The 27,250-nt window shown below is 44.2% G+C and overlaps 1 protein-coding gene across 3 annotated transcripts in view, besides 5 other annotated features; it reads left to right on the plus strand.

Moving 5' to 3' along the window:
* Positions 1–27,250, plus strand: part of TIAM2 (TIAM Rac1 associated GEF 2) — a 262,409-nt gene that overhangs the window by 123,041 nt on the left and 112,118 nt on the right. For all 3 annotated transcript variants that reach the window (NM_012454.4, NM_001384546.1, NM_001384547.1), the window contains 4 exons: positions 9,135–9,245; positions 10,863–12,062; positions 18,822–19,257; positions 26,251–26,423. In NM_012454.4, coding sequence (NP_036586.3) covers positions 10,869–12,062; positions 18,822–19,257; positions 26,251–26,423 — 1,803 coding nt within the window. In that variant the 5' untranslated portion in view covers positions 9,135–9,245; positions 10,863–10,868. The remainder of the gene's footprint in view (positions 1–9,134; positions 9,246–10,862; positions 12,063–18,821; positions 19,258–26,250; positions 26,424–27,250) is intronic.
* Positions 606–1,387: an enhancer, noted in NCBI's record as "H3K27ac hESC enhancer chr6:155440095-155440876 (GRCh37/hg19 assembly coordinates)". NCBI's record gives its function as "activates a minimal SCP1, AML or CMV promoter by ChIP-STARR-seq in primed H9 embryonic stem cells {active_cell/tissue: H9 hESC(primed)}" and the evidence as "EXISTENCE:reporter gene assay evidence [ECO:0000049][PMID:30033119]".
* Positions 1,388–2,170: an enhancer, noted in NCBI's record as "OCT4-NANOG-H3K27ac hESC enhancer chr6:155440877-155441659 (GRCh37/hg19 assembly coordinates)". NCBI's record gives its function as "activates a minimal SCP1, AML or CMV promoter by ChIP-STARR-seq in naive H9 embryonic stem cells {active_cell/tissue: H9 hESC(naive)}" and the evidence as "EXISTENCE:reporter gene assay evidence [ECO:0000049][PMID:30033119]".
* Positions 8,625–9,824: an enhancer, noted in NCBI's record as "CDK7 strongly-dependent group 2 enhancer chr6:155448114-155449313 (GRCh37/hg19 assembly coordinates)". NCBI's record gives its function as "activates an origin of replication core promoter dependent on BRD2, BRD4, P300/CBP, MED14 and CDK7 cofactors, with strong dependence on CDK7, by STARR-seq in HCT116 cells {active_cell/tissue: HCT116}" and the evidence as "EXISTENCE:reporter gene assay evidence [ECO:0000049][PMID:35650434]".
* Positions 8,832–9,578: an enhancer, noted in NCBI's record as "H3K27ac hESC enhancer chr6:155448321-155449067 (GRCh37/hg19 assembly coordinates)". NCBI's record gives its function as "activates a minimal SCP1, AML or CMV promoter by ChIP-STARR-seq in primed H9 embryonic stem cells {active_cell/tissue: H9 hESC(primed)}" and the evidence as "EXISTENCE:reporter gene assay evidence [ECO:0000049][PMID:30033119]".
* Positions 11,356–11,971: an enhancer, noted in NCBI's record as "H3K27ac-H3K4me1 hESC enhancer chr6:155450845-155451460 (GRCh37/hg19 assembly coordinates)". NCBI's record gives its function as "activates a minimal SCP1, AML or CMV promoter by ChIP-STARR-seq in primed H9 embryonic stem cells {active_cell/tissue: H9 hESC(primed)}" and the evidence as "EXISTENCE:reporter gene assay evidence [ECO:0000049][PMID:30033119]".

Consider the following 27,250-nt stretch of genomic DNA (forward strand, 5'->3'; position numbering starts at 1 on the left):
GAACAAGCCATTTTCTGTTCCCTGGAATTCCTTTCTTTCCTTTCCTTTATTTTTCTTTTTTCTTTTTCTTTTTCTTTTTCTTTTTTTTTTTTTTTGAGACGGAGTCTTGCTCTGTTGCCCAGGATGGAGTGCAGTGGCGTGATCTTGACTCACCGCAACCTTTGCCTCCTGGATTCAAGTGTTTCTCCTGTCTCAGCCTCCCAAGTAGCTGGAATTACAGGCGCCCGCCACCACACCCAGCTAATTTTTGTATTTTTTTAGTGGAGAAGGGGTTTCACCGTGTTGGCCAGGCTGGTCTCAAACTCCTGACCTCAGGTGATCTGCCTGCCTTGGCCTCTCAGTGTGTTGCGATTACAGGCGTGAGCCACCGCGCACGGCCTTCTCTTTCCTTTCTTCATCTAATGGAATCCTACTCATCCTCCAAGACCCACTTGTTGGGTTATCTTCCTTATTGGGTTGTTCCTAACTTTCCTACCAAGAAGTTGAATGTCCAGTGAATGTGTGTGCTTTTTTTTTTAATTTGTGCAGTGCAAAAGGATGAAGCCCATGGACCTAATCTGTGGTGTCCAGATTGCACATTAATGATGGGCCATCTTTAAAAAAAAAAAAAATCTTGTACTTACTGTCTGTATCTGAAGTGTTTGCCTTGGACAATGACTTCCCTTCCCTTCCATTCCTTTCCCTTTCTTTTTTTTTTTTGACGGAGTCTTGCTCTGTTGCTCAGGCTGGAGTGCAGTGGCGCGATCTCGGCTCACTACAACCTCCGCCTCCTGGGTTTAAGAGATTCTCCTGCTCCAGCCTCCCGAGTAGCTGGGATTACAGGTGCCTGCCACCACGCCCGGCTAATTTTTGTATTTTTAGTAGAGACAGGGTTTCACTGTGTTGGCCAGGCTGGTCTCAGACTCCTGACTTCATGTGATCCACCAGCCTCGGCCTCCCAAAGTCCTGGGATTACAGGCGTGAGCCACTGCACCTGGCCCTGACTCTTCTTTTCTTTTTTTTTTGAGTGAGAATCTCTTCTTCACTCAGGCTGGAGCGCAGTGATGCAATCTCCACTCACTGTAACCTCTGCCTCCCAGGTTCAAGTGATTCTCATGCCTCAGCCTCTCGAATAGCTGGGATTACAGGCATGAGCCACTGTGACCGGCTAATTTTTGTATTTTTGGTAGAGATGGGTATCACCATGTTGGCCAGGCTGGTCTCAAACTCCTGTCCTCAAGTGATCTGCCTGCCTTGGCCTTCCAAAATGTTGGGATTACAGGCGTGAGCCACCACGTCCAGCCAACAATGACTTTTCGAATGTTTTGGGACTCGTCGGAGCTTGGCTCTCCTTGGATTTTCTTAGAGTGGATGTACCATTCTGGCAAAACTACCTCTTGTGGTTTTATAAGTCAGTTTTTAAAACATTTCTTTTTTAATCGTGACTCAAGAAGACATAATTTTACTTCACAACCCAGTATATGGACAAACACACAAGCACACACAAGAATTTAGTTTCATGAAACAAATTTTACTCTTACTGGGATTCACTCGTCTATTTTCCGTTCTGCTAGTCTCTCTTCTGCTCTATTTTGTTCTCTTGTATTCATTTAAAAATACTGGTATCAATTCATCGAATGGATTTCATAACCCAACAATGGGCCACGACCCACGGCTTGATCAGCCTTCTGTAAGCCATGCTGCAGATGTTGGGATGTTTTCTAAAACAGGTGTGAGTGTGGAGATCCTCCTTGTGATAAATTGACTTACTAAGGTGATGAACTGGACAAAAAGCTGAGCTATTGTCTCTGTGGAATTTATGACTTTCCCGCTTGTTGAATACCAGCCATGCTTGTCAGCGGAGATCCTGCTCGGAGGGCATTCCTTGCCGCAGATGGGTCTATCCATTCATCTGTTAATATGCATTTGGAAGGAGTCCCGCTGAATTCAAAGACGACCAGTGAGGCCCAACAATGAAAGCTTAGCTTCTGAGGCCCTTCACAGCAGCTTGCTTTCTGCTCACTTTTTTTGTAAGGATTACTCTTCCTAAGCATTATTCCTATGGGGACCAGATGTTCCTTTTGCCTGCCTCTTTATATAAATTGGGTTCAAGTCTTCTTGTGATTAGAAATGAGCTCCTTCAAGTCTTGGTATTCAATTCATGCATTCTGAGTGTAGTTCATTGACTCAGGATGAGAGAAACAGATTCTGGCAGTATTTACAGAGTTTATTAGTAAGTTTGGATCCCTGGTAGAGGTGAATGCTTTTGTTTTAGATTTTTAGGCACATTTGTCCTGAGTTTTAATATTTTCAGTGATAGAGACAATAATAAAACTTCAGGGCAGGATTTCTCAGCTTTGGAACTACTGACATATTAGGCCAGATAATTAATTATTTGTTGTGGCGAACTGTCCTGTATGTTGTACGGGGTTCAGTAGTATCCCCCTAGCCTTAACCCACTAGGTGACAGTAGCAGACCCCAGTTGTGACAACCAAAAATATTCCCAGACATGCCAAATGTCCCTTGGGGGACAAAATCACTGTAGTTGAGAATGACTGCTTTAAGGTTGTACCAGTTCAATGCGCATTCAGGTTATTTTCTTACATTTCCTAACGTGAGTTATCTACTAATGAGAGTGTATGGCTTGTGTCACTGGTTTTCTTTACATTTGATAGACTGCTTGCAAATTAGGTAGTTTTATATGCTGTAATAATTTGGAGGAATTGATCAAAATGAAATGCTAAAACCTAGAAGATTCTAAATTTATCTATATATAATATTTAATTTAATAATAGATAATGAAAGATCTGAAATGACAGTTTTAATAAGATCTAATATCATAATATACAAAATCAGACTTAAAGCTAAAATTTAATAATACTTTGTGTTGCATTATTGAATAATGAGTAGGTAATGACAGACCTGAAACAGCAGTTATTATGAGATCTGATATCATAACATACAAAATTAGACTTATAACTACAAATTAATAATAGTACTCTGTTGCATTTCCCAGTATTTTAGATGGTTTCACATATGTTTCCACACTTGATTCTCAGTCTGTGAGGTAGTAGTGCAGATATTTTTATCCTCAAGTTGCAAATGAGGAAAAAGAAATTCAGAAAGCTTGAGCAGTTTGCCCAAAGTCTCACATGCTGTTTGAGAGACAGAAGCAGGGCTTAACCCGAGTTCGCTGACACAAACCAGACTAGAATTTACGGAGACTCCTCTCCTTAGTGGTTAAAGCTGTCCCCGACCCTCCCCAAATAAAGAAAACCAAGTAGATATTGCTATGGTTAATGATGGCTAGCCCTTTTGTTATCTGGCTCTTGTCACTATCTGAAGTATTTGCCTGGGACTAGGATGAGGGTCCTAGTTTAGTATAAGAATCTCTCTGGAGCGACGTGAAGCCTGTTGGTATCTCCTGGTAGTAGCACTTGCGCTTCCTCTCACGGTCTTGGCCAGCTGTAGATCTCCTTTTTTGCAGTGGCTCCGTTCTGTTTGCTGTCCCCGATCCAGCCCCCGCCCTCCTCGCAGGCCTCTGCTCAGCACCATCTGCCCACCCGGAGGGTTTCCTCCTATTCCCCTTCAGTTGCTCCATCTGGGCAGCCAGCTCAGGGCCTCAGTCCAGAGACAAAGCAGAGGCAGACGATTCTAGTTTTCTTTGCTGTAAATGCCACACTACATGGAACTAGAGAATTTGGGAATCTGACTCATCCAATCAAGCCCAGGCTAAAGGCAAATGAAGAAAAGGTAAATCTCGAATTTCCTCCTGAAAGCTGTTTTTCCCCGGGACTCAGTAGATGACAGTGGCTGTTGGGATTGTGATGGCATACTTAGGACATTCCTCCACATTGCTGCACGCTTCTGGAGTGGTTACTGATCACACTTTTAAGAAAGAAAAACTTCCACTCTTGGTAATTTTAGCTTAAAAAGCTACAGAGCATACTCATGTGAATGGGGACTGGGAGGGAATGCAGAATGGAAGGTAGGATTTTGGGGATTGGGAGGGAATGGAGAATGGAAGGTAGGATTTTGGGGATTGGGAGGGAATGCAGAATGGAAGGTAGGATTTTGGGGATTAGGAGGGAATGGAGAATGGAAGGCAGGATTTTGGGGATTGGGAAGGAATGGAGAATGGAAGGTAGGATTTTGGGGATTGGGAGGGAATGGAGAATGGATGGTAGGATTTTTTTTTTTTGTTCTAGGTCCATGTCATTGTGATAAGTTTTTTAAAATTCCAATATTTATTATAATTGTCCCGTAAATAAAAAATAATTATAAAAAAGTTTGTACACAGCATAAAATGTTTGCTAACTATACACATTCTTGGTGCCACATTATTCCAGAGTGACTTCACTTAAATTACGTCTCTACCAGCCCTGGGCCTCGCCACACGTTATTATACTTCATATCTCTTCCTGCAGGTTAGAAAACCTTCACAGGGGTTGCTGCGGGTGACTGTACGTATACATACTTTTGCTATTTGTAAACACCAGGCCCTTTTAAAGTACTTTTTTTTTTTTTTGAAGAGTTTACATGAATGAAATCTGTTGTTTTTTAAATTTTTTTCAGCCCCCTTTCTATTAACTAAAATAGTTTTTAAACTTGAATATCATAAAATTCCTTTAGTAAAGGAGTCAGGGGGCCAGAGGTTACTGAACATTTGCCTTAAATATTCCCTTGCTTCCAGACAAAAATCATAGCTGAAGCATGACAGAAAAATATCTGTTCAATTTGTCAAATTCCTCAGGGACAATAATTACTTAGCTTCCCTCAGGGAGTATCCTTCCTGTCAATAAATTTCTCATAAATATTGGATAAATTCTTCCTCCTACTGTTTAAGGCTGTTTTTTTTTTTCTTCCCTGCCAGGATTGACCCAACATTGCACATTTGGTCAGCATTATGCATATGTGAAAATGCACTTTGTTCTATATTTCTGTCACTCCCTGTTTGCTTTTCTCTATCTTAATTATGGAAATGTATCCTCGTGAGTTGATATACCAGTCTTTCTGTCATACCCAGTAAGGAGGATTCCCGCCCTTGGTCTGGGGTCCGCATCAACTGTGTAGCACATGAATTGCTGTCATTTGGTCCCACAGGTGTCTATTGAGTGCTTATATGAGCCTCCAGGTGCTAGGCCTTGAGTGCACAGCATCCAGTAGAGGATGGGGGTCTCCTGTGTTTTTAGAAATATCCCATGAAATAAAAAAATTAAGCTATTTAATTGCAAAAGTAGTAAGATGAGCTTAGGTTCTAACCTGCCGCTGGGGCAGAAACTTCCACCTGGGAGTGATTCTGCGGCTTTGAATTCTGGCCTCTTTGTGTGTCTGTGAGTGGCTGACACAGTCGGCCACTCAATCGCAGTTTTGTCCGCTGGTTTTGGCGAGCTCAGGGCCTGTGCTGTGTGTGCTGCAGCTCGGGAGGGCTGACAAAGAGAGGTGGTTGAGGAGTGAGCGGCCGGGAGCCTTTCGCCTCCAGTGTCTTCGCTGGACCTTGGTCTTTACAAAAGGAAACAAATGAAGGCTCACTCTGATCCACTCACTGTGACAGTCTGAGTGGCAGCAGCCAGGAGCTTCTCTGGCCATTTGTAGTTCCCTCAGTTAAAAAATGAAAGGGTAGCTAAGGTTCAACAGCTCAGGCTTTGAACTTTATTTATTTGTTTATTTATTATTATCATCATCATTTTTGAGACAGAGTTGACAGTCTTGCTGCGTCTGTCACCCAGGCTGGAGTCCAGTGGCTTGATCTCAGCTCACTGCAACCTCTGCCTCCCGATTCAAGCAATTCTCCCACCTCAGCCTCCCAAGTAGCTGGGATTACAGGTGTGTGCCCTCACACTCAGCTAATTTTTTTGTAGTTTTAGTAGAGATGGAGTTTCACCATTTTGGCCAGGCTGGTCTTGACCTCCTGGGCTTAAGTGCTCCATCTGCCTCGGATTCCCAAAGTGCTGGGATTACAGGCTTGAGCCACCATGCCCAGCCAGGTTTTGAACTTTTTTTTTCTCTTTTGAGACTGAGTTTCGCTCTTGTTGCCCAGGCTGGAGTGCAACGGCACAATCTCGGCTCACCGCAACCTCTGCCTCTGGCGTTTAAGTGATTCTCTTGCCTCAGCCTCCTGAGTAGCTGGGATTACAGGCATGCACCACCATGCCTGGCTAATTTTATAGTTTTAGTAGAGACGGGGTTTCTCCATGTTGATCAGGCTGGTCTCGAACTCCCGACCTCAGGTGATCTGCCCTGCCTTGGCCTCCCAAAGTGCTGGGATTACAGGCATGAGCCACCACACCCAGCTGGTTTTGGACTTTTAAAAGGTGGGGTTCTTGTGGTCCAGCCCCATGTGTGAGATGGGGCCAGGTTCTAGTGGCAAGTCTAGCAGTTGCTATCCCCTTTTTAGACGTGTGACACAGCTGCCTACTAAAAGGTAGGGTGCCGGCAGTATAGCAGCCACCTTCTCAGTCCTCATTAATTAGAGGCTGAGCTATTGGATTTCCTGCCAATGGCCAAGTGGAAAATCTATTTGACTTTTTTTTTTTTTTTTAATTTAAAATGTATCTGCGTGGATAGACTCAGGCAGGAGATTTGTCTTTGTCTTTGTTAGAGGAACCTAGCTCCAGTGTCTTGCTTCTCCTCCCACTAACTGTAACAGTCACCACTGAGGCCGGGTGTGGTGCCTCATGCTTGTAATCCCAGCACTTTGGGAGGCCGAGGCAGGTGGATCACCTGAGAGTTCGAGACCAGCCTGGCTAACATGGTGAAACCCCGTCTCTACTAAAAATACAAAAATTAGCTGGGTGTGGTGGCGGGCACTTGTAATCCCAGATGCTCAGGAAGCTGAGGCAGGGGAATCACTTGAACCCGGGAGGCACAGGTTGCAGTGAGTCGAGATTGTACCGCTGCACTCCAGCCTGGGTAACAGAGTGAGACTCTGTCTCAAAAAAAATAAAAGGTGCCATTGAACCCTCCTAAGAAGATATACAGTAGCCAATAAGCACATGAAAAAGATGGCTCAATATCACTTATCATTAGAGAAATGCAAATGAAACCCATAATGAGATACTGCTTATGTCCATTAGGATAACTGCTGTCGAAAAACAGAAAATAACAAGCATGGGTGAGGATGTGGAGGAATTGGAACTCTGCTGCACTGTTGGTGAGCATGTAAAATGGTGCAGCTGTTGCGGAAAACAGTATGGCGGTTCTGTAAAGAATTAAAAATAGGGCTGGGCGCGGTGGCTCACGCCTGTTATCCCAGCACTTTGGGAGGCTGAGGTGGGTGGATCACTTAAGGCCGGAAGTTCGAGACCAGCCTGGCCAACACGGTGAAGCCCTGTCTCTACTAAAATCAGAAAAATTATCTGGTGCAATGGTGCGCGCCTATAATCACAGCTACTTGAGAGGCTGAGGCAGGGGAGTCACTTGGACCTGGGAGGCGGAGGTTGCAGTGAGCCGAGATTGTGCCACTGCACTCCAGCCTGGACGACAGAGCAAGACTCTGTCTCCAAAAAAAGAGAGAAAAAAAAAAGAATTACAAATAGAATAACCTAAGTGGTGTGCTTATGACAATAAATAGTTTATTTTCTAAAAATAAAATAAAAATAGAATAACCTAATGCTATTGCATTTCCACTTCTGGGTATATATCATAAAGAATTGAAAGCAGGGTCTGGAAGAGCTAGTTAAACACCCATGGTCATAGCAGCATTATTCATAATAGCCAAGAGGTGGAAGCAACCCAAGTGTCTCTCCATGGGATGAATGAATAAACAAAATGTGGCATGCACATGTAATAGAATGCTATTCAGCCTTAACAAGGAAGGAAATTCTGACATCTGCTACCACGTGGATGAAACTTGAGGGCATTATACTAAGTGAAATAAGCCAGTTGCAAAAAGACAAATGCTTTCACTTATATGCGGTATCTAGAGTCCTCAAATTCATAGAGGCAGAAAGTAGAATGACAGTTGCCAGGGGCTGTGGGACCGGGGAATTGCTGTTTAATGGGTGCAGAGTTTCTGTTCTGCAAGATGGAAAGAGTTCTGAAGATGGATGTCGGTGACGGTTGTACAACAGTGTACTTACTGCTGCCCTGTACATTTAAAAATGGGTAAGATGGGCCAGGCGCGGTGGCTCACGCCTGTAATCCCCGCGCTTTGGGAGGCTGAGGTGAGCAGATCACCTGAGGTCGGGAGTTTGAGAACAGTCTGACCAACATGGAGAAACCCTGTCTCTACTAAAAATACAAAATTAGCTGGGCGTGGTGGTGCGTGCCTGTAATCCCAGTTACTCAGGAGGCTGAGGTAGGAGAATCGCTTGAACCCAGGAGGCGGAGGTTGCAGTGAGCCGAGATTGTGCCACTGCACTCCCGCCTGGGCAAGAAGAACAAAACTCTGTCTCAAATAAATAAATAAATAAATAAATGGTAAGATGGAAAATGTTATGTTATCCATGTTTGACCACAATTACAAATAAACTTTTTTTTTTTTTTTTAAAGGAACAAAAAGTCACTATTAAGGCCTCACCCCTCTGCTTCCCGTGTCTGTGGCTTCGTGTCCAGCAGTGAGCACGGCCAGAGGGGAGCCTCCCCATCTCAGCCAGTCCTCCTCCCTTTCAGAAGCCCTGCCTTATCCCTCAGAGGGGGACCTCTTGCCCCTGCTAACATGTGCTTGAGAAAGCTTTTAATCTCATTTATGAGGTCAACCTCTACAAGCTAAATTATTTTAACCAAGGACTATTCACTGTGATGTTATATTTTGGGCTTTGTTTTTGCTGCTTGGTCAAATAGAGAACAAGGGCCACCTCTCGTCACACAGCCTGACGCTCCTGCAGCCCTGTGAGACTGAGAGTTGTTTTCCTGGTCATGGTGACAGATGAGCCACGCATGACTCACTGGAGCGGTCTCCCCTGAAACAAAGGCATGCATTTGACTGCAGACTGGGTGTTGAGTTGGTGGCCTTTGCAAGACTGGGTGGGCAGTTCTGGCTTCAAATGACCCTGATGAATCACACGGTTCACAGACGTTTCATTTATTACCTTGACAGTGACCCTGGACACCAGTTGTTTCTTCATATAATTTGCGTTAAGGCTTCCTTTTGACTTTGTGGGAGCTTGGAGTAAAACGCTTCACAGAGTTTTCTTGCGTTTCTGTTTTTCAGGCTCACTTCATGGACTCACTTTGCGTGCTTGTTAAATGTGCTGTGTTGCTCCCAAGACCATGTAAAGCCTACTGACCACTAACCTCCCTCACAGCAGAAACTAGACGTCAGGTAAACCCAACCCTTGTGCCTGGGGGTCACGTCAAGTTGCATGACTGTGATTAAGGTAATAAGTAAAGGTTTAATTATTTGGGCTAGCGATTTTGGTTTTAAAATATTTGATAATTACCACCAAAGAAAAGTCAATCCATTTAACTTCTGTTTTGTGGCTACACATTCTTAGATATAAAAGAATTAAAAATAAAAAGCCTACTAAATATATCTGGAGATCTCACCAGAAGAGCATCACCTCCAACTGACCTAAAATAGTGATATACTGGTTTGAGTGAGAAACTAGCTGGGCATGGTGGCATGTGCCTGTAGTTCCAGCTACTTGGGAGGCTGAGGCAGGAGAATCCCTTGAGCCCAGGGGTTTGAAACCAGCCTGGGCAACATAGCAAGATCCCACCTCAAAAAAATTATTTCAGAATCAAAAGAGATGGTTTCTTCTTTCCTCCCTTCCTCCCTCCCTCCTTCTCCCCCTTTTCACTTTGAGTTTGGCTTAACTAATAGACTCCTTGAGCAAACTGGGGTTTTTACAAGGAAGTAAGAGTCTAATATTAAGTTTTTCTGATGCCCATATTCTAAGTCAGCTTCATACTTACTTCTCTCATCATATTCTAAAGTGAAGATACCTGAAGTCTTTACAAAAGCTCTAGAGATTAGTTTTATTAAAATGTTTTTCTTTCCCAAATGAGAGCTCTTATTTTTTCCCCCATTTTTCATCTCAGCCTCATTTTTGAGGACTTCCAGGCCTTTTTCTTTTGTGGTATTCCTAGAGCCCCAACAGAGCCTGGTACCTGGTGTCATGTTATAAAAATGTGATAGTTTTTGAGCAAAAGTCTCTCAAAATACTGTGGAGAGATTTTAGCTCTACCAGTAGTTTATGTATAATGAAAATGTATCTCTCTGATCACTGAGATCTGTGTATTTAGACTGACAGAATAAAGATACTTTCCCTAATTTTTCTCTTCAAGAATCATTAGTTTGGTCAGGTGTGGTGGCTCACACCTGTGATGCTAGCACTTTGGGAGGCCGAGGCAAGAGGATCTCTTGAGCCCAGGAGTTCAAGACCAGCCTGGAGCAACAGAGTGAGACCCCATATCTTTAAAAAAAAAAAAAAACCCCGAGCTTGAGAGTGGTAGCACGTGCCTATAGTCCCAGCTACTTGGGAAGCTAAGGCAGGAGGATCACTTGAGCCTAGGAAGTCGAGGCTGCAGTGAGCTGTGACTGCGGCACTGCACTCCAGCCTGGATGATAACAGTGAGACTCTGTCTCAAAAAAAAAGCAAAAAAAAATCATTCAAAGTCTCTCAACACCAAGCCTGAAGCAGATCTTTCTCATAAGCTGATTTTTATGCCTGTTCGCCTTCTAAATTAATATTGTATAATGAATAATGTCTTTAAAATAATTAGCAGACAGGTGTGCAGTGTTGTCTGTCTAGCTAATGAGCAGCCTTGCAAAATAAGGAGAGCCTGTTCTACTGACTGACTCTTGTCCCTACTCCTCTGAGTCCTTCCAGGCACTGAAGTTGCTGTGTAATATGCAGGGCATTCTTTTTAGAAAGTTCTGTCATAATGGAATGTAATTTAGGCCACGGTCTTACTGATGCAACTGTTCTTAATTTAGGTTAAAATGGGCAACTCCGACAGTCAGTACACCCTTCAAGGATCTAAAAATCATAGCAATACTATTACTGGTGCTAAGCAAATTCCTTGCTCCCTGAAAATACGTGGCATTCATGCAAAAGAGGAAAAGTCATTGCATGGATGGGGTCACGGAAGCAACGGAGCAGGTTACAAGTCCAGGTCCCTGGCCCGAAGCTGCCTTTCTCACTTTAAGAGTAACCAGCCTTACGCATCGAGACTCGGTGGCCCCACATGCAAGGTCTCCAGAGGTGTTGCCTACTCCACGCACAGGACAAATGCCCCAGGGAAGGATTTCCAGGGCATCAGTGCTGCTTTCTCAACTGAGAATGGCTTCCACTCTGTTGGCCACGAGCTGGCAGATAACCACATCACCTCCAGAGACTGCAACGGACACCTTCTCAACTGCTACGGGAGGAATGAGAGCATTGCCTCCACCCCACCGGGCGAAGACCGCAAGAGCCCCCGAGTGCTCATCAAAACGCTGGGGAAGCTGGATGGGTGTTTAAGGGTCGAGTTCCACAATGGTGGCAACCCCAGCAAAGTGCCTGCAGAGGACTGCAGTGAGCCGGTGCAGCTGCTGAGGTACTCACCTACCTTAGCATCGGAAACCTCCCCTGTGCCTGAAGCCAGGAGGGGGTCCAGCGCCGATTCCCTGCCCAGCCATCGCCCCTCTCCCACGGACTCTCGCCTGCGGTCCAGCAAAGGCAGCTCCCTGAGTTCTGAGTCATCCTGGTACGACTCCCCTTGGGGCAATGCTGGAGAGCTGAGCGAGGCTGAGGGCTCCTTCCTGGCCCCCGGCATGCCTGACCCCAGTCTCCATGCCAGCTTCCCACCTGGCGATGCCAAAAAGCCTTTCAACCAAAGCTCTTCCCTCTCCTCCCTCCGGGAACTGTACAAAGATGCCAACCTGGGGAGCCTCTCCCCCTCAGGTATCCGCCTTTCTGATGAATACATGGGCACGCATGCCAGCCTGAGCAACCGTGTCTCTTTTGCTTCCGACATTGATGTGCCCTCCAGAGTGGCACACGGGGACCCCATCCAGTACAGTTCCTTCACTCTCCCCTGTCGGAAGCCCAAAGCCTTTGTTGAGGATACTGCGAAGAAGGACTCCCTCAAAGCCAGGATGCGACGGATCAGTGACTGGACGGGAAGCCTCTCAAGGAAGAAAAGGAAACTCCAGGTGAGCATACCTTAGAGCAGAGGGAAGGGTCCCCACAGTTTCCCCACCTGGAGAAGGGGAAGGTTAGTAGAAGCCACCATAGAGTGTTGTCGGGGTGCTTAAGTGATCTGGCAAAAGTGAAGAGTTCAGTGGAAAGCCTGGCTCATCTCATTTTCAAGTGTGGGTTTGTTCTCTCTTTTGCTTCAGATATTTTCACTTTTAGCCCACAACTTTAATCTTCCCATGTCTTAGTCAGCTTGGGCAGCAAACAAAATACCACAGACTTGGTTTAATCAACAGACATCTATTTCTCATAATTCTGGAGGCTGGAAGTCAGAGGTCAGAGTGCCAGTGTGGTCCGATTCTGGGGAGGGCTCTCTTCCTGGCTGCAGACAGCCGCCTTCTCACTGTGTCCTCATGCGGCAGAGAGAGCAGGAGGTCTAGGCTCTTTTCCTCTTCTTATAAGGACCCTAATCCCATCATGGGGACTCTACCCTCATGACCCCCTCTAAACCAATTACCTCTCAAAGATGTCAGTTAAATATCATCCACTGGTAGTTAAGGCCTCAACATGGATTTTGGGGAGGGGGGAAACAAATGTTCAGTCAATAGCATTCTGGTTCTGTGCATGTCCCTGCACTCTTCCATGCACTCCACAGGCCTAATCTTAAGACTTGGCCATAGCCGGTGTGGCAGCTCATGCCTGTCATCCCAGCACTTGGGGATGCCAAAGTGGGCAGATCACTTGAGGCCAGGAGTTTGAGACCAGCCTGGCCAACATGGTGAAACCCTGTCTGTACCCAAAATACAAAAATTAGCCTGGCGTGGTGGCGGGTGCCTGTAATCCGAGCTACTCAGGAGGCTGAGGCAGGAGAATCGCTTGAACCTGGGAGGCAGAGGTTGCAGTGAGCTGAGATCACACCTGGGCAACAGAGAGAGACTCTGTCTTTAAAAAAAAAAAAAAAGTAAGTACAGAGTTGGAGAGAATTCCTGAAAGAATTGGTTATCTGAGAATTTTACTAGACCTCATTCTTACAGTCCAAATAAAACAGTTGAGATTGTCATTATTTTTGGTTGAATAGGCTTGTTGAACTTGATATTACTCTGATGAAATTAAAATTTCTATGCTTAAGTTGGTACATCAAAAAAAAAAGTTGATGATATATCTACATGTGTAATCTTTTTTTTTTTTCTTTTTTTTGAGACAGAGTATCGCTCCGTTGTACAGGCTGGAGTACAGTGGTGCGATCTTGGCTCACTGCAACCTCTGCCTCCCGTGTCCAAGCGATTCTGCTGCCTCAGCCTCCTGAGTAGCTGGCATTACAGGCGTGCACCACCATGCCTGGCTAATTTGTGTATTTTAGTAGAGACGGGGTTTCACCATGTTGGCCAGGCTGGTCTGGAACTCCTGACCTCAGGTGATCCACCTGCCTCGGCCTCCCAACATGCTGGGATTACAAGCGTGAGCCACCACATCCGGCCTATATGTGTAATCTTAACCTCCTCATGGAGATAGCTAATGGCATCCTGAAAATATCTTGTACCTAAGTGCATGTAATAGAAAAATATATATACTGATAAAACTGATAAAATAAGAATGATGAATATACTTCTGTATCATGGCATGTAAAGTTTTACTGGGGGAGCAAAGTGGCTTATCCACCAGGAAGAAAAGTGATAGTTTGCCTTTTTAGGTAATTAGTGGCAATTGCTAGATTTTCAGTTTGTTGTTGTTTTGTTATTTGTTTTTATTTTTGATTATTTATATAGGGGAGAAGCTTCTTTTTAAATTACTCTGTATAAGTCATGGAGTTGAAGGGAATTTGTGTGGGCAGTTAGTCTCTAGCAGAATTGCATCCTAGATAGACATAAAATTATAAAATTATATAGAGATTTAGGGGTGGAAAATAATATAACTTTTTTGAGTAGATTGCTTCAGATTTATGAAGTTTGACTTTCGTTACTTCCTTCTGATGTATATAGCGTGTCTGCCTCCACCACCCCCTCCTGTGCTGGGCTTCGGTTCTCCCTCCTCTTCCTTCACACAGAGGTGAAGAACAGATGATCAGCATCCTGTTTTCAGGGCCTCTTCATATCCCTGAATATATTGTAGTAATTTGTATAGTGATTTTACTCCTGGATCATCACTTTTTCAGACTAAACCACAAAATAGTAGAGATTTCCTTGACTTTTTTCTCTCAGCTCCCATTTCCTAAACAACTGATCCCCACTGAGCATAATGGGAGACGCAGCTTCTGCTTACTTGAGGGCTGAAGTCCCAGGTGGACAACGTCCACGCCTTTTTGATTCAAGTGTTATGGTGCCCACCTGTGTTCAGCTGTCATCCACTGTGTCCCCTAATTGGTGGTGGCATCGAGCCAATGATTCTGCATCTCTTATGTGCACTGAGTTTGTTGCTCATCTGTATATGTGGCCTGGCTTACACGCGGCTCTAGTGAGCTGCATTCAGTGACAGTTCCCACTTGGTTCAGATGTAGACCAGTGGCTGCTGTGTATGAATCATTCTATCACGGGTAAGTATCCCTCCTTGCCTCTCCTGTCAAGTTACCCTCCCTGCGTCTCCTACCCACGGGAACTGGGTCTCCTTCAATTCTGCATTGTCCAAAAACTTAACTCTGAATTGTGTGCCTGTAGAGTTAAAAACAAACCGGTTAGGGCCGGGTGTGGTGGCTCACGCCTGTCATCCCAGCACTTTGGGAGGCTGAGGCAGGCGGATCACTGGAGGTCAGGAGTTTGAGACCAACCTGGCCAACTTGGTGAAATCCCATCTCTAATGAAAATTAGCTGGGCATGCTGGCATGTGCCTGTTAGTCCCACTACTTGGGAGGCAGAGGCAGGAGAATCGCTTGAACCTGGGAGGTGGAGGTTGCAGTGAGCTGAGATCACGCCAGCGCACTCCAGCCTGGGCAACAGAGTGAGACTCCATCTCAACAACAACAACAACAACAAAACAGCAACAACAACAAAAAACTGGTTAGAATCAAGGAATTAGAATTTTATTATTTATTTTATTTTATTTATTTATTTTTTGAGATGGAGTCTCTCTGTTAAAAAAAGTACCTTCTTAGCAAATTTCAGGCATAGAATATAGTGTTATTAACTGTAGTCACCATAATTTACCTTAGAGCTCCAGAACTTATTCCTCCTGCAAAACTGAAGCTTTGTACCCTTTGAGCAGCATCTTCCCATTGCCCTCTCCTGCCCCTGGCAACCACCATTGTACTCTCTGCTTCAATGAGTTGGACTATTTCAGATTCCACGTATAAGTGGAATCTTGCAGTGCATGTCTTTCTGTAGAGTGACATCTCTTGAGTTTTTACTCTTTTTTTTTTTTGAGATGGAGTCTTGCTCTTTTTGCCCAGGCTGTAGTGCAGTGGCGCCATGTCGGCTCACTCAAGCGATTCTCCTGCCTCAGCGTCCTGAGTAGCTGATCCGGATTACAGGCGTGTGCCACCACCCCCAGCTGATTTTGTGTTTTTAGTAGAGACGGGGTTTCTCCATGTTGGTCAGGCTGGTCTCGAACTCCCGACCTCAGGTGATCCACCCTCCTCGGCCTCCCAAAGTGCTGGGATAACAGGCGTGAGCCACCTGGCTTGAGTTTTTACTCTTGAGTCTTTACTCATCTCCACTCTGCTGTACTGCCCTAGTCATCAAGTTACATTAGCCCTTGTTTCTGATTATTCGATTTGATGGAAGTGAAGTCACTTGTATGGAAATGGAAATCGTATGATTTGTGTGTGTGTGTATATATATATATATAGCAGGCACCTTAGTTTCATCCGCATAACAGATGATTAAGAATTCTAGCTGAACCTATTTAAAGACATTCTATATTTTTTAAAGGCTCTTTTTTATTAGCCTGAAAATTAGTGACTGGCTATTAGGATTCTAGATAAAAAGATTTGGAAATTTATTAGAGACTGGGAGAGTTCATACCTATGTATAAGAATAAGTTATAAATGCTAAAATGCATCCCCCCACCCCCCCCCATTTCTGAAAAAGAAAACTCCTTGCTTTGCTATGGTTAAACATTTAAAAGTTGGCACTGTAAGTTGAGAAGCAGTGTCAAGAGTGTGTGTAGGTCACACTTAACTTTGGGACTTCTGTGCCTTTCTGTGGCAGAATTGGGCTTGTTTTGAAGCATATTCCGTCATGGCCCTTGCAGGGTATCAGAGGTAATTCCAGTGTTTTTGGGCGATGAGTCAGAGGGACATATTTATAACTGAGATAATGTTAATACTAGCTAGATGAGAAGTGTTTCTTCACCTTTTAGGAGTTTTTTGTTTTTTTGTTTTGTTTTTCTTTTGAGACAGAGTCTCGCTCTGTCGCCGAGGCTGGAGTGCAGTGGCGTGATCTCTACTCACTGCAACCTCCGCCTCCCGGGTTCAAGCGATTCTCCTGCCTCAGCATCCCAAGTAGCTGGGACTACAGGCATGTGCCGCCGCACCTGGCTAATTTTTCGTATTTTTTGTAGAGACGGGGTTTCACCGTGTTAGCCAGGATGGTCTCGATCTCCTGACCTCATGATCTGCCCACCTCAGCCTCCCAAAGTGCTGGGATTACAGGCGTGAGCCACCGAGCCCAGCCAGGAGTTTTTGAAAAGCAACAAATTGACAATTAAAAAAAAAACTCTAAGTATTTCTAAAGTTTCCTGTCCAAGTGACTCACAACAGCTGGTTTATTTGCTCTGTTATGCATAAGCATCAGTGTATAAATAAATATGACTGGAGATGCAGTGTAAACAGTGGCAAATCATATTTCTATTTGTAATATCTGCTTGGGGCGCAGTTGTTCATGGCTCCTGGGTATTTGGAAGTACTCTCCAGTTGTGTGATTATTCTCTTACAAAACAGCAAGTAATTGCAACTTGATTTTTGGATGAAATTTCTGAAAAGGAAACCTCTCTATACAATGTAATATTCAAAATAAGGCCTTTAGTCAATGGTCCTTGACCCAGTTTTCCATCATTTTTATTTTAATGCATAAGAAAATATAATCAAAAGCCCACTAGCAGCTGAGTAGTCTTGAGTGTGCTTGGCGTCTCTGCAGAGTTATCTTCATTTAAGCCATAAATGTTGAATGTCAGTGCCTTTTGAGTCAGAAGTTAAGCTCACTTTATGCTGAAAATTTTAATTACTGCCATTTACCAGTGAAAAGCCTGTATGCAAATTATTTTTCTTCAGTGACTAGACTTCTAATCCAGATATTAGAGAAATGTCTTTATGTTTTCAGCTCTGTGCATGGCCAGCTTGATGTTCAATGCACCTGGTCCTCACAGGGAGCAACATTATTATATAAGTATGCATTGTATTTAGAGCTACCTGTGTTTGATTTTTGTGTTGGAGTAAATACTGCAGTTAAGAATCATGTCTTTGATATCTCCAGTACCTAGAATAAAATAGGTACTCAAATGAAAGGATGTGAATGAATAAATGGGTATATTTTTTTCATGAAAGTAATTCTCTAAGTAAGAAATATTAATTATGAAAAAAACTGGCCGGGCGCGGTGGCTCATGCCTGTAATCCCAGCGCTTTGGGAGGCTGAGGTGGGCGGATCACCTGAGGTTGGGAGTTTGAGACCAGCCTGACCAACATGAAGAAACCGTGTCTCTACTAAAAATACAAAATTAGCCAGGTGTGGTGGCGCATGCCTGTAATCCCAGATACTTGGGAGGCCGAGGCAGGAGAGTCACTTGAACCCAGGAGGCAGAGGTTGCAGTGAGCCAAGATTGCGCCATTGCACTCCAGCCTGGGCAATGAGAGCGAAACTCCATCTCAAAAAAAAAAAAAAAGAAAAACAAAAAAGCTATAGTTACTAGCCAGTACCCTTCATAGATAAGGAATCCTAAGTGTATTATTATTGTTATTATTTTTGAGATGGAGTTTCGCTCTTGTTGCCCAGGCTAGAGTGCAATGGCCTGATCTTGGTTCACAGCAACCTCTGCCTTCCAGGTTCAGGTGATTCTCCTGCCTCAGCCCCCTGAGTAGCTGGGATTACAGGTGCTCACCGCCAGGCCTGGCTAATTTTTGTATTTTTAGTAGAGACGGGTTTCACCATGTTGGCCAGGCTGGTTTTGAACTCCTGGCCTCAGGTGATCCACCTGCCTCGGCCTCCCAAAGTGCTAGAATTACAAGCATGAGCCACCTCGCCATCTATTATTTTTACTATATGAACTGGGAAAATAAGATACTAGAGATCTCAAAGTCTAGAAGTCTAGACCTGGGCACTTGGCCAGAAGCTGGGGACTATAGGGAGAGGAAGAGAAGTTTTTGGGTTTTGCATAACAATACTGAGTCCCTGTCTTCCCCACCCTACCCTGGTATAGTAATTTTCTAATTTACCTTTCAAATGATCCAGGGAAAAAATAAATTGCAAGAATATGAATTCTTTCCTGGAAGATACTGATTCATGGTTAGCAATGAAGAAAGAAATATCATTCTAGTAATCTTCACTAGTGTGTTGTAAACATACTAGTTAATTTCTCGATGCTAAGCATAGGTTAGATTTAGGAGAGCCATTTGTATTTTATTTACCTCTTTAAGTGCTAATTCTACTGGATATAAATTGACTTGGGCAACACTATTTTTAAAATTCTTTCTGGTATGAAGACTTGATGGTTAAAGATGTATTTTTGTTACAAGAATCTTGCTTTGCATTACATTATCAGCAGCCACTGGTATTACACTTATGCTGTGTGCAAGAAGGGATGCTTTGGATAGCCGTAAGCTCTGATGGGTGATCATGTGTGTTTCTCACAGGAGCCGAGGTCCAAGGAGGGCAGTGACTACTTTGACAGTCGCTCTGATGGACTGAATACAGATGTGCAGGGATCCTCCCAGGCATCTGCTTTTCTGTGGTCAGGGGGCTCTACTCAGATCCTGTCTCAGAGAAGTGAATCCACACATGCGATTGGCAGCGATCCCCTCCGGCAGAACATTTATGAGAATTTCATGCGAGAGTTGGAAATGAGCAGGACCAACACTGAGAACATAGAAACATCTACAGAAACCGCCGAGTCCAGCAGCGAGTCACTCAGCTCTCTGGAACAGCTGGATCTGCTCTTTGAGAAGGAACAGGGGGTGGTCCGGAAGGCCGGGTGGCTCTTCTTCAAGCCCCTGGTCACTGTGCAGAAGGAAAGGAAGCTTGAGCTGGTGGCACGAAGGAAATGGAAACAGTACTGGGTAACGCTGAAAGGTGAGTGCAGTGTCACCTGCTGAGGCCACTGGGGATTGTTTCCGCCAGCCGTGCTCTTTGCCAGGAAGTGCCAAGAGACTAGCATTGATTTGAGTTCACATGAGGGGTTTGACACAGGATCCATGGGCTGCCTTCATGCAGATACTTTCTCACACCCGTGAAATAGGCTTTACCTACTATTCACATGTATTATGCAGTTCAATAAATAATTAGTGGATTTTTTACTTGTTTTTATTTTTTTTGAGACAGAGTCTTGCTTTGTTGCCCAGGCTGGAGTGCAATGGCAGGATCTCAGCTCACTGCAACCTCTGCCTCCCAGGCTCAAGCAATTCTCGTGCCTCAGCCTCCTGAGTAGCTGGAATTATGGGCGTGGGCCACCACACCTGGCTAAGTTTTGTCTAATTTTTAGTAGAGATGGGGATTCTTCATGTTGACCAGGCTGCTCTCATAACTCCTGACCTCAAGCAGGTTGTCCACCTTGGCCTCCCAAAGTGCTGGGATTATAGGCATGAGCCACTGCACCCGGCCTATTATAATGGTTGGATTTAATACTTATTGCTTATTTCATAGGTATTTAGCTTATTTATAGGTATGCCTGTACCATTTTCGCTGGATTTGGAGAAAAAAAAGTCAGTAACCAAAGGTAGTTTAGTTGTTTGGAAGGCAGCTTCTGAATTTCACATTCCGTACATGTTCAGAACTCCAAAGAGGTTTTCTTTCCAGCTTGTGCAACTAAGATTATCATCTGGATTATTGATTTGTCATTCCAGCTTTATGAACAAAGTCTGTTTGTTGTCATCACTAACAAGTGCAGCCGTCTTTTTTTTTTTTTAATATACTTTAAGTTCTAGGGTACATGTGCACAATGTGCATGCAGGTTTGTTACATAGGTATATGTGTGCCATGTTGGTTTGCTGCACCCATCAACTCGTCATTTACATTAGGTATATCTCCTAATGCTATCCCTCCCCCATTCCCCCATCCCTCAACAGGCCCCAGTTTGTGATGTTCCCTGCCCTGTGTCCATGTGTTCTCATTGTTCAATTCCCACCTATGAGTGAGAACATGCGGTGTTTGGTTTTCTGTCCTTGTGATAGTTTGCTGAGAATGATGGTTTCCAGCTTCATCCATGTCCCTGCAAAGGACAGGAACTCATCCTTTTTTATGGCTGCATAGTATTCTGTGGTGTATATGTGCCACATTTTCTTAATCCAGTCTATCATTGATGGACCAGCTGTCTTTTTTTTTTAAACATAAAGGCAATAGAAGTGAGAATTTGTTTTGTTGACATGAGAAAAGTTTTTTATAAGCATTGCCATTTAAAAACTATAATTGCCTTGAGGAAGAGAGAAGCTCCAAATCTGTACAGCGTTGATTTATGCAGATGCACCCAGAGCGGCCTCGCAGCCTCTGGCATTCTGCACAGCCCCCTGGGACTCTTTGTCAGAGGAGCTGAGTGTGTTGTTCAAAAGCCAAACCTCATCGTCAAGTGATGCCCTTCCCTGTCACAGGAGAGAGCAGAAACATCTGCAAATACTACGTGTGCAATGTCCAGTGCCCTCTCAATTACCCCTTTCTAGCTTTTCTTTGCCCCTTATCGAACAGTTGGAGCCCTGCTTCCCCAACCGTGGAGGGCAGGCATCATGCCTTCGTTACCACAAGCCCCTCTGGCACCTCTGGTAAAGGAGCACTTGCAAAGGCATTTCATATCCAAGTGATACCTTTTCCTAGCAGGCCGGCGGGTGTACAAAGCCCAGGGGCCCAGCATTCCTCACACGCTGCAGTCCTCTTTTCCATCCCTAGATTTGGATGCTTGTAGACATTGTGGCTGGCTGAGGAAGGTAAAGAACGTCCCCAGTTTTTCCATACTGGCGAGGCAGATTTCTGTATTGAATGACAGAAACAATTTGGAAAGGTAGAATAATGGGTTGAATCTGGCAGGATTAACATTTAAAGAGATAAGAAAGTTCTGCTTTAAGGTTTAAAAGTCAGATAGCTACCCAAGGACAGGATAGGGAAATGTGGCTGCAAACTATTATGAGTGAGGCCAGGTGTGGTGGCTCACACCTGTAATCCCAGCACTTTGGGAGGCCGAGGCGGGTGGATCTCCTGAGGTTAGGAGTTTGAGACCAGCCTGGCCAACATGGTGAAACCCCATCTCTACTAAAAATACAATAATTAGCCTGGCATGATGGCAGGTTCCTGTAATCCCAGCTACTCAGGAGGCTGAGGCTGCAGAATCGCTTGAACCTGGGAGGCGGAGGTTGCAGAGAGCTGAGATCATGCCACTGCACTCCAGCCTGGGCGATGAGTGAAACTCCATCTCAAAAACAAACAAACAAACAAACAAACCAAAACAAGTATTATGAGTGAAAAAGATGTCGGGATTTAATTTGCAGGCCATGTGTTTCCAAGTTGATGTGGCTGAAAAGGTAAATGTGATTTCAAAGAGCAAATGTGATCTTTAGCTACCTCATTAGAGATGTCATGTGATCATCAGCTACCTCCTTAGAAATGCTATATCTCTTGCAAAGGAGATGACAGTGTCTCCTTTCTTTGCCCTGGTCAGAGCTGGTTGTTTCCCTCCTTGTGGGCACAATATTGCAGGAGATTTGTTAGGAAATGAGAAATTGATCCTTGAAAGGTTGTCCTGGAGGATCCCTAAATGGGGAGAGAGTGAACATGTTCCCTTAAGGGGTAAACATCTGGGACTGTTTGTGAATCATAGTCTGAAGCTGCCTCCTAGTCACATGATGTGAATACTTAGAATGGATGCACGTTACCCCATCATTTGTCATGTATCTACTTTTTAAGTGTGAAATTTGTTTCTTAAAATTAATTCTGTGAGAATTTCTTCCCTGCCTGTCTATGGATTTGAAAACCCCCAGTATACATCACCCTAGTGGTGGGGGTTAGACTGGGAGGCAGGGTGACTGTGTGTGTATGTGTGTGTGTGTGTGTGAGAGAGAGAGAGAGAGAGAGAGAGAGAGAGAGAGAGAGAGAGAATATACCACTTTGAGAGGCTGGGCCATAGGTGATGACAAGGAGATTTAGAGCCGTGCTAGATGGAGGAGGGCATAAAGATCTAGGGATATTTAGCATGGAGAAAATAAGAACTGGGTGAGAGTGAACAGCAGTGTGTAGAAGAGACATTGAATTTATTCTGGGTCTGCAGAGGTTAGGATGGGACTAATAGATGGGAGACAGGCTGATTCTAAATTAATATAAAAAACAACAGTGACAGCCATGGGCACGTGGAAAGATGCTCCCTTTTTGATTTCTGTGCTACTGACCACATTTGTCCAGAGCCAAATTGTCGCAGGCTTCTTGAGGGAAACTCAGGCAGATATCACTTAAGGGCTGGAAGAGCTGATTGGCAGCTTCCTGTATTTTATCCCAAAAGGTAGACCAGGAACTTCTGGCTACCAACTTCAGGGGTAGTGATGGGCCTGAGTTGTCACTGAGCATTGCTAGATTTGTAGTCTTGGCTAGGTCCTGCTTTCCTGGTGTTTGCTTGTAAAACACTTCAAGATCCATGGATAAAGGGTGCTTTGTAGTATAAATGTTATCAAGCACACATTTCTTCCTTTCCTTTGCAGCCAAGGCAAGACTTGTGATAAAGATGTTTTTTTCCCCAGCGTAACCTTTTCCATGTGGCTTTCTACACCTCTTTCCTCTGGGAATTCAGTATGTTGAGTTCTAATTTCTTGGCTTAGAATCCAAGTTGTAATGTTTGGACTTAACTGTTTGGTTTAATCTTAGTTAAAAACACATATATGTGTACACACACACACACACACACACACTCTTAAGCCTAATTTTTAAATTATCCTTAAAGTATCCATGTAAATAAATGGGAGACAGTTTTCTGGAGAGAGCCGTTATTAACAAACCATCTGGTTATCTGCCTACCTGGAATGTATAGGTATATGAGGGACGTACATGTTTTTCAAGGCTTTGGAGGATGTAATAAATTTTCAACAAGGGTAATTCTGCTTTCCATTTGTCTTTTCCAGTGAGTGGATTTTCATGCAGTTCACTGGGGACTTCCTGGGCTGAAGAGTTGGCAAGGTCATTAAACATATCCCTCAAAATGTGCAACAGACTGAGTGATAGTCAGTGTCAGGGGAGGAGTTCATAAACTAATTTTAGAATACTGGTGATTCTGCCCTGAGATGGGCCAGCAGCAGGGATGGGAGATCAAAAGGGTCTCATAGAAAAGGTGGATTTGAGGGAAAACCAAGACTAATTGCCCTCTTTCCCCTGGGTGAGATTTCTACTAATATTACGTCTCTATTCTTGTACTGCCATTGCTATGCCAATCTGTTTTCTCTTTCTGCTACCATAGCAAGAACGTCCAGTGTCAACGACCCCTCCAAGCCAAGACCAGCGCTTGGTAGGGACTGGACAGGGCTGGGGGCCCCCAGCACCGGGGTGAACGGCAAGGCAGGGCTGGTGGCCCCCAGCATCGGGGTGAACGGCAAAGGCAGGGTTGGGGGCCCCCAGCACCGGGGTGAATGGCAGAGGCTTCACTGACACGGGTGCAGCCCGTTTCCACTGGCCCCAGTGCACCCTTAGAGATGCAGAGTCCCGTGAAGTTGAACTTGATGTCATAGAGTTAAGATTGATTTCCTGATTTTTTAAATTTGATAGCCACAAAATTCTGCCTATTGTTTTACTTCCTGGCCTGGCTCTAATGTGAAATGTCCTGTTTTGATTTCATGCCTCCAAGTTAGAGCGGTAGTCTGTTGTCCATGGGTTGTTAGGTTTGGTGACATTTTGGCATTGGCCCAAGGTTTGCATTCATTTCCTCTAGATGCCACGATTTAAACCATGGCTGTTGGAATTCCAGTGTTAGGGAAGCTGGGAAGTGAACGTGAACCCATTGGAAAGAATTTGGACGTGTGTGCAGCTGGAGCTGCTCTGCCCCTTTGCCCTGGTCCTCGGGCCCCGGGTCATGGCTTGTAGCATGTGCAACAGTAGCATCAGATGGGCCTTACTCGATGAGAAGACTTGGTTTATAGTTTAACTGCTGCATCAGTGGCTGGAAAAAGATACTGGCCAGGCCTGCAAGAAGCAGCTCTGGCTGTAAACCTCTTGCTACTTTCCCTTGTTTGTAATACTTGAGTTCTGTCAGCCTGTTAGTTTGGATGAGTTTTATTTGCGGGGAGGAGCAAATGCGCAGTTTCTTGAGATCATAAAGTACCATGGAGGGAGAAAGTACTGCTTCCGAAGTCCAAGCTTGGAGCAGGCATCTTTCTCTCTTGGCTTCTATGTGCTGTTATCGGTTCTATTGTATAAACTTGTTTGTTCATATCAAGACTTATTTTTAAAGGAAGTAATGAAATTGGAAAGACTGAAATAGTTTTCAAAACGTCTGAACTTTTATGAATGAGGATGCAAACACAGTAGTAGGATAAAGTACCGTGAAGTGGGCCCCAGGCATTTGTTTACAGTGAAGGCAGGCTGGTGTTTCTTTCCTGTCAATGTGAAAGGCACTTGCGAAGCACCCAGATGGTGGTCATGTCATTGTTATTCGTATGCTGGAGGTTGCCACATGAGAAGTGGTCAAAAAAGTTTATTGGATACAGATTTGAGGGGATAGTTAACCTATACAAGAGGACACATTTGTGAGCATTTTAGAAGCATTAGTTTGCTTAAAAATTGTGTCTAATAATTATAATGCAATTTCTAATTAATGAAGCAAACTCTTAATAACTTCTACCTGCAATACTTTATTTGCTTATGAGGGGAAGAGTAAGTACTTAAAAGCATATGTTGCAGTATTTTTAGAGTAACGTTTGAAAATTCAGGCACATTTAGTTTCACTTTTCTCCCTTAGTCTAAGTAATGTTTTCTATTAGTTTCACTTTTCTCCCTTAGCCTAAGTAATGTTTTCTATTACTGTGAGATAAAAGGAAATACTAAAAATTAAGTTATTTTACATGGCATTTGGAGAACAAACCGGGTACTTTCTCATAAATGGCAAAGTCCCCTAGGTATGTTCAGTTTCTTGTTCCCATTGATGGTCAACGGAGTGAGTGAGTGTGGGATTTTCTGTGGCCTCTTACATTGAGATTCCCTAAATAATGTGGTGTTGTGCTTAAGGATGAGGGCTTTGGGGCCAGAGGGCCTGAGTTCACATCCCTGCTGCTCCACAGTGCAGCGGTGGGACCCCTGCAAGGAATTCGATCTCTCAGTTTTCTCATTTTTAGTGTGAAAGGAAAATAAAACCTGGGGACCCCAATTCCTGATGCCAGAAGGAAAAAAAAAACAAGCCGAAAGCTGAGTCATGCAAGAAGCTGCCTTTCCTTTTCTTTCTAAGCAGGAGCTACAGATAAAAGGTTAAATATCCCCACAGGTAGCTAGCTACTCTGTGTTCACCTTATCTTATGTAAAGTGCTGGATGATTACGTGATTGACAGTTCCCCTGCCTGCTCCTTTTCCCTTGCAGCAGGTGGATTACCATGCTCTCCCTCGTTCCTCTCCAGCCCACTTTTAATTTTTAAACACTGAAGCCCTCAACATCGTCTTTGGAGAAAAGCACAGACCACAGACTATTTCTGTGATTCTGTGTTCTCTTCCTCCGGGCATGTCCACAACTTTGGCAAAATAAACTTCTCAATGGATCGAGACCAGTCCTAGATACTTTTTGGGTCACAGTAGAATGGGCTAAATAACCCTGCCCACCTTAGGGCCTCTATGGGGATTAAATAAGCCAGTGCATGTGGAGTACTTAGAAGAGTTAAGCAACAACTTATTATTTGGTATTGTTATTACTGATATTACATTTACAAAGACATCTCATTTTCATTCAAGTTCATTCTGATACAACTAGGTGTACTTCAGATGCCACTTTTCCTTGTTTACCATGTTTCTGTCACATGATTGTCTCACTCAGGTGTTTTTAAAAAAGTGTGTCACTTACCCTCCCAGTCCTTTCCTGCATCTCCAGGTCTGACCGGGATGTTATTTTGCTTCTCTGTTTCACAGGATGCACGCTGCTGTTTTATGAGACCTATGGGAAGAATTCCATGGATCAGAGCAGTGCCCCTCGGTGTGCTCTGTTTGCAGAAGACAGCATAGTGCAGTCTGTTCCAGAGCATCCCAAGAAAGAAAATGTGTTCTGCCTCAGCAACTCCTTTGGAGATGTCTACCTTTTCCAGGTACTGCTGGTACTTTGTAAGTGGAGGTAATAGCTTATGTACTGCTAGAATAAGAAGGAACAGAAAAGGCAAAACTTGGAAATGAAATTGAATAAATACTTAGTTAGGCTTTGGATTTGGCCTTAAGCAACAGATGTTGGCTTCCGCTGACTGCCAAGGGCACTGGGCCATCAGCAATCCAGTCATTCATCCAGAGGGCACTTTTCAGGTGCCTCTGAAGTCCCAGGCTGTGGCCCATGAGATGCTCATTGGGACACAAAGAGAAAAAAATCATGATCCCTGTCCTGGAGTAGCTGGCGATCTAGTGAGCGCAATGGTCAAGATTCCCAGATTTGGGGCTTTTAAAATGAAGCTTGGAGAATATTGATGGGAGAGGCTTGGGTTCTTGCCACGGATCTCAGTGGATGTCAAAAGTTTTCAGGAAAACCCTCATAGACAAATGCTATGAGGTCTCATTTCCCTGTGGAAGTGGTCTTAGGATCTTAAGATTCAGGTTATCTACTGTTAGAATTTTCAGTGACTTTTTAGCCAGTGAGATGTTGTAGAACATGGCGGTACTGAGCCATCGGTATTGGGGTCGGGCTTAGGTTTGAATCCTGGCACCTTTGTTAGCGTTGAGTTTGTAAGTGATCTTGGAGCGCGTACCAGACTTCTCTGAGCTTTGGGCCCTTCAACCAGTAGGATAATAGTGGCTTACATGATTGCCGTAAGAGTAAATGACATCGTGTGTGTGTTAAATGCTTAATAAATTTTAACTTGGTGATTAATATTAATTCAGAACAGGTGAGAGTGAGAGCTGGGAAGTGAAGTGTGCTTCTTAAATGTCC

The sequence above is a fragment of the Homo sapiens genome, chromosome 6 (genome assembly GCF_000001405.40).
Source record: "Homo sapiens chromosome 6, GRCh38.p14 Primary Assembly".
NCBI lineage: Eukaryota > Metazoa > Chordata > Mammalia > Primates > Hominidae > Homo > Homo sapiens.